General features: G+C 33.9%; 1 protein-coding gene across 20 annotated transcripts in view, besides 1 other annotated feature; it reads right to left on the reverse strand.

Annotated features, from left to right (window-relative positions):
- SOX5 (SRY-box transcription factor 5) overlaps window positions 1–9,154 on the reverse strand; it is a 1,033,147-nt gene that overhangs the window by 683,585 nt on the left and 340,408 nt on the right. For 17 of the 20 annotated variants that reach the window (XM_024449159.2, XM_024449158.2, XM_047429458.1 and 14 more), the window contains one exon: window positions 255–329. The exons of the other annotated variants lie outside the window; for them this stretch is intronic. The gene's annotated coding sequence lies outside the window, so the exon portion shown is untranslated. The remainder of the gene's footprint in view (window positions 1–254; window positions 330–9,154) is intronic. 20 annotated transcript variants of the gene reach the window in all.
- Window positions 3,367–3,993: an enhancer, noted in NCBI's record as "H3K27ac-H3K4me1 hESC enhancer chr12:24369389-24370015 (GRCh37/hg19 assembly coordinates)". NCBI's record gives its function as "activates a minimal SCP1, AML or CMV promoter by ChIP-STARR-seq in naive H9 embryonic stem cells {active_cell/tissue: H9 hESC(naive)}" and the evidence as "EXISTENCE:reporter gene assay evidence [ECO:0000049][PMID:30033119]".

Genomic DNA, 9,154 nt, shown 5'->3' on the forward strand with positions numbered 1-9,154 from the left:
AAATTCAGGCATCTATGTAACTTATGTAAGATTTTGTTTCTATTCTTGATAGTTTTTAAATTATTTTCATCTTCAAACTATAAAAGGAAGATGCCCAAATGCTCAACTTCTTACATTATTAGAGTATTATTCATAATTTGCAAACCAAGAACAACTCAAGCACATGGAAGAAATAAGCAAGTGGCAAGAGATTTGAGAATTGTAAAACTGATGGCAAAAGAATGACCAGCAAATGGTAATGTAAATGTCCTGACCTGCTGAGTCTCCCAGTCCAATCTCTCCCACTCCCGGTGTCCTGATGTCCTTGATATTATCTATTTCTTGAAATGCTAAAAAAAAAAAAAAAAAAAAGAAAAAGAAAAAGGAAGAAAAATTGAAACAAAGAAAGAAAATATTAAGTGAGAAATCAGAGTAATTCCAAATAAATAAAAAAATTGAAAATGATAAAGATAGTTAAATGAGATTTCTATTGCAAAATGTTGGAAAAAATATTAAGTACTTTCATTATAATAATTTTTTTTTTTTCTAGACCAGATTCATAGCCATAAAACAACATCAGACTCATACGACTGTGCTAGTTAGTGGCTAATGAATGAAAAATCAATGAAAAACTAAACAATTTTTATTAATGACATTTCAAGATACAGCGACAACTGAAATGTAAAAATATGAACTAATTATTTTGGAGCCATATTAATTAAATCACTTAAAAGTCATCATATGATTAATTCAGCCATGTGAGCATGCATGTGTGATGCACAAACTCACTCACACAAGTGTGTGTGTATAGCCTGAAGTGATCCTAAGCCTAGTTTTACTGAGACAATTACAACCATTTTTTATAGTCCATGATAGTTTAAAATATATATATATATAATGTAATATTACTTAGAGCTACAATACTTTACGCAAAACATTCTAACGGGCACTGAAATGTATGGAATACATATGTGTATAAATTTATAGAATAAAACTTATGGAATACATGTATATGTATAAATTTATGAAATAAAATTTATAGAATACATAAGCACTTAGCAAAGCACGGTGCTACATTGTACTAGGACACTAAGTTATAGAAGAATAAATACTTCATAAACCCATTGAATAATTTCCAGGCAAAAATACCAACAATAGAAAGAACAAAATAAAAACAGAAACACTCTATAAGTAGTCACTTTATCAGAGACAGACTGCAGGGTCATAAAAGCAGAATTTAATTATTGATTTCTGGGAATGTTTTTGCAAATTTATCTAACCTCTTGGAGGCTTATTTTCCCAATCTACAAAATGGCTTCATAAGCTTGTCATGAACCCCAAATCTAAGTTTTCAATACATACAGCTATTTTATTATGATTTTATTATTTATTTGTGATTGTGGAATATTTTTTATATGGGGAAGTTCATCAGCTATTGTCTGCTTTTTAAGGTTTGGCCACCAAAATGACTACATTATATGACTTCAAGATGTTTATGCATTTATTAATTATATGTGGGATCTTGCAACAAGCTTATTAAAATTGTATAAATAAAAAGCTTATCAATTTTTTGTCTTAGGTTGGTCCTATATTATCAACCAGATTATGCAGGTCAGTATTTTAATGACAATACTTCAAACTGTACTTACAGGAAAACAGAATTCCACTTCTGAAATACTGGTCTAACATACCAGAGCTACAGACTTAGAGGTAATCTAAGACCAGGTGACTTGTGCAACTTTTATTTATTAATTTATATTCTTTTTCATTTTAAAAAGCCTAAATAATTTTGGAATATTTAGATCATTTTAGAGTACATAAAATGGCAAGAAGAATTACACTCTATAACCAAGTAGGATTTATCCCAGGAATGCAAAGTTGATTTACCATATAAATATCAAATAACATACCATACCATATTAATAAAGGGAAAAATCATACAATATCTCTATAGATGCTGAAAAGCATCTGACAAAATCCAACACCCTGCTTTAAAACCATCAAAACATTAAACAAACTAGCAATAGAAGGAAACTTCCTCAACCTAGTAAAGACCATCTATGAAAAATCTACAACTATAATACTTAATGGCAAAACATTAACTGTTTTCTCCTTAAACTAAGGAACAAGAATGTTTGCTCATACCACTTTTATTCAACATTTTATTAGAGATTTCATACAGGTTCACTAAATAAGAAACAGAAAGAAAAGGCATCCAGGCTGGAAAGAAAGAAGTATGATTATCGCTATTTGTAGATAACGTTATCATTTTTACTTAGAAAATCTTAAGGAAGTAATTAAAAAACTATAAGAGCTAAAGAACAAGTTCAGTAAGGTTGCAGGATAGTTGATCAATATATAAAAATCAATTGTATTTCTACAAACTAGTAATGAACATTCTGAAAATGATATCAAGGAAACAATTCCATTTATAATAGCATGGAAAGAATAAAATACTTCGGAATAAATTTAACATTAGAAGTCTAAGGCTTGTGAATCACAAACTATAAACATCTTTGAAAAAAATTAAAGAATATCTAAAAAATGAAAAGACAACCCACATTCATGGATGAGAAAACTTAATATTCTTAAAATGATAATACTTGCCAATTAATCTACAGATTGAACACAATTCTTATCAAAATCCCAGTTGGCTTTTTTACAGAAACTGTCAAGCTGATCCTAAAATTCATATGGACATACAAAAAGTCCAAAATAGCTACATCGATCCTGAAAAAAAAAAAAGAAAGAAAAAGGGGATGTATCCTTCCCAACTTCAAAATTTATGACAAAGCTACAATAATTAAGACATTAGTGGTACTGGTATAAGGATGCACATATAGATCTAATGGCACAGAATTGAGAGTACAGAAATAAACCGATACATTTGTAGCTAGTTGATTTTTGATAAGGTTGCCCAGACAAGTCAATGGAAGGAAGAATAGTTGTCATATAAGTATTAATATATTTTTAAAAATCTGGTCTTTGTCCCTGGTTCCTGGCACAGAGTTTCAGAAATTCTTGAAATTCCCTGAGTGATAGATGTGCCTTTGTTATGCTAATGAGGTGGCACAGGGTTGTTGCCACAGATAGCCTACAGGATGGGGGAGGTTGTCAAAAGAATAAAAAATCCCGGCCGGGCGCGGTGGCTTACGCCTGTAATCCCAGCACTTTGGGAGGCCGAGGCGGACGGATCACGAGGTCAGGAGATCAAGACCATCCTGGCTAACACGGTGAAACCCCGTGTCTACTAAAAATACAAAACATTTAGCCGGGCGTGGTGGCGGGCGGCTGTAGTCCCAGCTACTCCGGAGGCTGGGGCAGGAGAATGGCGTGAACCCGGGAGGCGGGGCTTGCAGTGAGCCGAGGTCACGCCACCGCACTACAGCCTGGGTGACAGAGCGCGACTCCGCCTCGGAAAAAAAAAATAAAAAATCCCATGTAATTAGAGTGATGGCGTTTCCAGTCCCCTCCTACCTCTGGGGAAAGAAGAAGATCTGAAGATTGAGTTTAGTCACATGGCCAATTATATGCTTATGTAATAAATACCTTGAATAAAAACTATGGACATGAGCTCGGGTGCGGTGGCCCATGCCTGTAATCCCAGCACTTTGGGAGACCAAGAAGGAGGGCGGATACCTTGAGGTTCAGGAGTTTAAGACCAGCCCTGGCCAACATGGCAAAACCCCATCTCTACCAAAAATACAAAAATTAGCTGGGCAGGGTGGTGCACGCCTATAATCCCAGCTACTCGGGAGGCTGAGGCCGGGGAATCACTTTTAGCTGGGCAGCAGAGGTTGCAGTGAGCCGAGATCACACCACTGCACTCCGGCCTGAGCAACAGAGCAAGACTCCATCTTAAAAATCAAATAAAACTACGAACATGAGGCTTGAATTGCTTCCAGGATAGTGAACATACTGATGTACCAGGAGGGTGTTGCAACCAACGCCATGAAGACAGAAACTTGTGCTCCAGATTATTCCAGACATATCCTGTGTACCCCTTTATCCAGCTACTCATTTAAATCCTTTATAATAAAATGGCAATTGTTAAGTATAGCACTTTTTGTGAGATAGCTAAGTTGTTCTAGTGAACTATCAAACCTTAAAGGGGTTCTTAGGAACTCCCAATTTTGTAGCCAATTCTGCCAAGCAGAAATAAGGGTAGCTTGGAGACCCCACTTGCAGTTGACCTTTGAAATAAGGACAGTCTAATTGAGGACCTTGTCCTTGAATCTGTAGGATCTGATGTTAACTGCAAATAGTTAGCGTCAGATTGAATTGAACTACAGGACACCCAGCTGACGTAAGAGAATTAGTGTTAGAACGTAATACAATCTTCAATAAATTATTCTGGGATAACAAAATATTCACATGCAAAAGAATTAAACTGGACCCTTATCTCATATATAAATAAGAATTAACTCAAAATGGATGACATACACCTACATGTAGAAACTAAACTATAAAAGTCTTAGAAGAAAATGTAAATATTCATGACCTTGGGTTTAGCAATGGGTTGTCAGACACAATACCAATAGATATGTCAAGCAACAAAAGAAATAAACAGATAAATTGGACATGAAAATTAAAAACATTTCTCCTTCTAAGGACACTATCGAGAGAGTGAAAAGACAACCTACAGAATGGGAGAAAATATTTGCAAATGATACACTTGACCAGGGACTGACTTACATCCACAATGTATAAAGAACTCTTAGAACTCTATAATGAAAAGTCAAATAACTAATTTAAAAATGAGCAAAAGATCTGATAGACATTTCACTAGAGAAGATGTACAAAGATGATGCTCAATATCATTATCCATTAGAGAAATGTAAACCAAAGCCACAATGACATGCCACTATATATCCACTAGGATGGCTATAAAAACAAGACAGATAATTACAAGCACTGGTGAGGCTATAGAGACGTGGGAACGCTCATAGATTGCTGGTGGAAATATGAAATGCTGCAGCTGCTATGGAAAGTGGTTTGCAATTCCTAGAAGTTTACAAATAGAGTTACCAAAATGACCCAGCCATTCTACTCCTAAGTGTATACCCAAGAGAAATAAAAACCTATGTCCAAACAAAAATGTGTATACATATGTTCAAAGCAGCATTATTTATAATGGTCAAAAGTTACCAATAATCTAAATGTTTTTTTAACTAGCTGACAAATGAATAAACAAAATTTGGTACATCCATTACAGTGAAATATTATTCAGCCTTAAAAAGGAATACAATACATATTACAGCACAGATGAATCTTAAAAACATTTTATCAAGTGAAAGAAGTCAGTGACAAAAGACCATATATTGTATAATTCTAAGTATAAGAAATGTCCAAAATAGGCTAATCTATAGAGACAGAGAGCAGATCAACGGCTACCTAGAGTTATGGGGGAACACTGGAGGAGTAATGGAGAGTGAAAATGAGTGCAAAGCTTCTTTTTGTCAGATGGAAATATTTTAAAATTGGGTAGTGGTGACACTGAATAATCCATGAACTCACTAAAAAACATTGACATGAACACTTGGAATGAATGAATTGTATGGTACATAAATTATAACTCAACAAACAAGTCTTTTAAAAATTACATACTATGAAACAAAAACACATCAACTTAGTCTCATTATCTTTTTTTAAAAAAGTATATACATCTACCTTGAAAAATCTAACAATGTTAAGATAATACAAAATAAATGCAGATTACTCCCTGATACATAACATTAATGGCATACCATGGCTAAAAACTAATAATAAAATGTGTAATAGGAAGATGTTCTACTTTTAAATTAGTCTTCAGAGATTAGTCTTTCAACAGTACTCAAGTATTGTAATACAATCCAAGTGTCACTGTCTCTTTATCAAGGCTTAGACTGTAGAAATATTTTTTAACTCAAAGTATGGCAACTTTTAGAATACAGTTTGTTAATAGTTGGAAATCATAGACATTTTAGAATTTTGTAAAACCATAGAGATTTTTGAATTATCAATTTGAGAGTGACTGTTATAAAAGAAAATTTTAGCTGCAAAACCAAAATAGATAAATAAATGAGAAAACACCTGCTTTAAAAACATCAAATTTTGAAAGAGGGGGAATAAGAAGGGGATGATTAATAGGGTTCAAAAATACAGTTAGAAAGAATAAGATCTAGTGTTTGGTAGCACAATAGGGTGACTACAGCTCACAATAATTTATTATATATTTCATGATAACTAAAGGAGTGGAATTGAAATGTTCCTAACACAAAGAAACGATAATTGCTTGAGTTGATGGATATCCCAATGACCCTGATGTGATTATTACACATTGTGTGCTCAAATAAACATATCACATGTGCCTTAAAAACATATACAACTATTTTGTCTCCACAATAATTCAAACTTCTAAAAACATCAAATTTCAGCGACATAAAATTGAAGTTCCCCACTTCTATCTATTTAATCTTTAATTTTAATAAGAATGCATTTAATGAAATACTCAAGAGGCTACATAACCTAAGAGACTCACATTTATCCAATTTCATGATCATAAGAGTTATATGATTAAACAGCCTCAATTCCAGTTATACCACCTAAGTGTCTAACCTCTCTGTTTAGTTAAAACATATTTTACTATTCAAGTGTATTTTCTGCCACTGAAATTTAAATAAGGCTCCAATCCCTCATGCACATTGCTTTGAGTTAAATTGGGGATTTGTTGAACAGAAACCATCCAACCATTCATCTGTTCATTTACTCAACAAAAAGTTCTCAAGCACTTATTATAAGATATTGCATATAAGATAAGGCAGAATGGAGAGATAAAAATAACATGTACTTTGGGATCACACAGATGTAAGCTTGAGTTCAGGCCTCAACTTATTATAGGTGGTAAAACCTTTCTGAGCCTTAGTTTCCTCATCTTTAAAGTGATGATTAATTGAACTAATGGCTTACATAACTCGGTAATTAATGTTAATAGCTTTTTTTTCCTGCCTATTTGAAAGTTAAGTAGATTAATCAGACAAGAATTCTGTGTTAGGAGGTAACAGCAGATATTGTAATGTATATAAATAAATAATGTGAAAAATTACAAGGTAGAAATTTCCAGTGATAAAATAAGTGAGATGATTTATACTAGATATAGAAGATAGTATCATCATTATCATCAAGTAGATATAGCATTTATATAGTTAACCACTGAGATAAATAATTATCAAATAACATTAATTTTCTTCCAAAACATTAATGTTCCAAAGTATTAACTTTGGGAAATAATCAGAGGATTTGTACTTTATGTAACTAATGATGCACACACATTCACACGATATAAAAATGATTCAAAGTATAAATATGCAACGTTACAGTGCTAATTCAGAATTACAGGAATTTTTTACTTTCTTGTTTTGCTAAACTATATTTTCTAAATATTTCTCCAAGAAATTTTATAACTTTCCTAATAATAAAAGGGCTATTAAATAAAGTGACAAAACATACATAGGTTATATGTTATTATTTAAACGGGGCAAAAAAATGTTTTCCAAAGGTTCTAAGTTGGCACCTAGTCCCCTCATACCCAGTCTTCCACCACAGCACACAGATCTCTACTGGTGCACCCCATCCAATTGGAAGTATCTAATTGCATCCCTGCTAGAACTTTTTCTAGCATTCTGCCTGCTCTTAAGAATAGAAAAGCAACATTTTGAACGGCAGTGCTCATCATATAAACATGAAGTTTCCTCCAAACAGTATTGAATAACCAAACTCATAGAGTCAGAAAACTATCATTATCTTTGGATTTATATCACATTTTACTCCACTTCCTATGTAGTAGCCGAAAGTCTGAAGAAAACATGTATTGACTTATTGTGTTTCGTGTTAGACACCTTATCTACACTGGTTTTTGATTTCACAACTACCCCATGAAGTGCCCATGGTTAACTCCACTTAACAAATGAGGATACTGGGTTGGACTTAGTTGTCTATGGTCCCATGTGACAGAGCTGAGATTTTAACTCAGGATGGCCTGATGTCAAAATCCATTTTCTTCCCAATATATCACATAACCTCTTCAAACTATGCCTGTGTATCAATTCCCCATTTTGTTTTCAAGTGTTTGCTAATGCATTAAATAAAGTAATTGTTACTAATATGGAAATGAGCTAGTCAGGTTATAGTGAAAAAAATACAAGACATGAAGGCCTCCTCCACCCTATCCATCACTCCTCCTTCTTCCTTTCCTTTCTTTCCTATATAGCACTTGCCATCTCTAAAATTAATTTGTTTTATAACCATGTCTATTTTGTTCATTGGTTTACCTCCAGCACTTAAAACAGAGCCCGACTTCAAATAAGAGTTTAATAAATACTTAGTAGATGAATAAATGTATTCATGAGAACATGTGTAAATTCTTCTTTTTACTAGTTAAGTGTCTCTTGACAAATCTACTGGCCTCTTTCAGCTTTTAAATCTCCATTTCTTAATGCAATACTACCTAAGGTTGTTATAAGTTTAAATTTATTCACTCAAAAACTGCCCACTGAGCACCTACTACCTGCCAGATACTATTCTAAGCAATGTGATCACAGCAGGGAACAAAATGGACAAAAATCTCTCATGCAGCTTACAGTCTGGTGAGTAAAGAAAGACAAGAATACAACACAATGTATTAAATAGCAACAAGTGCTTTGGAGACAAAAACAGTTTGTAGACAAGAATCTGAGAGCAGGATCTGCAATTTTAAGCAGGGTGACTAGAAAAGAAGATATATGAGTAAGGAGGTGAGGGATGTGTAAATTGGGGAAAGAACTTTTCATACAGAGTAAATAGCACGATGGCATACTGTATTTTCAGAGTGGCTGCAATGGAGTGAGTGAATGCAAGAGTAATAGGAAGTGAGGTCAGATAAGCCAGGGGAAGGCAAGGGTTGTGTAAGGCCTTGTAGGCCATAGTTAGGATACTGGCTTCTGTTCTTAGAAAAATTAAAAGCCAATGTGGAGGTTTGAGCATAAGTGGAAAATCAGGTGACTTAGGTTTTAATTGGTTCAATATTTCTCAGTGAGGTTGTTATTGGCATTCTGAGTGGACAGCTCCTCTTTTCCCCCCCACCACCAAGCACATGGCAGGCCATTTAGTGTCTCTAAACTGGGCCCATGAAATGCCAGTAGAACTGCCCTGGTCTTTT

Source organism: Homo sapiens, chromosome 12 (assembly GCF_000001405.40).
Source record: "Homo sapiens chromosome 12, GRCh38.p14 Primary Assembly".
NCBI lineage: Eukaryota > Metazoa > Chordata > Mammalia > Primates > Hominidae > Homo > Homo sapiens.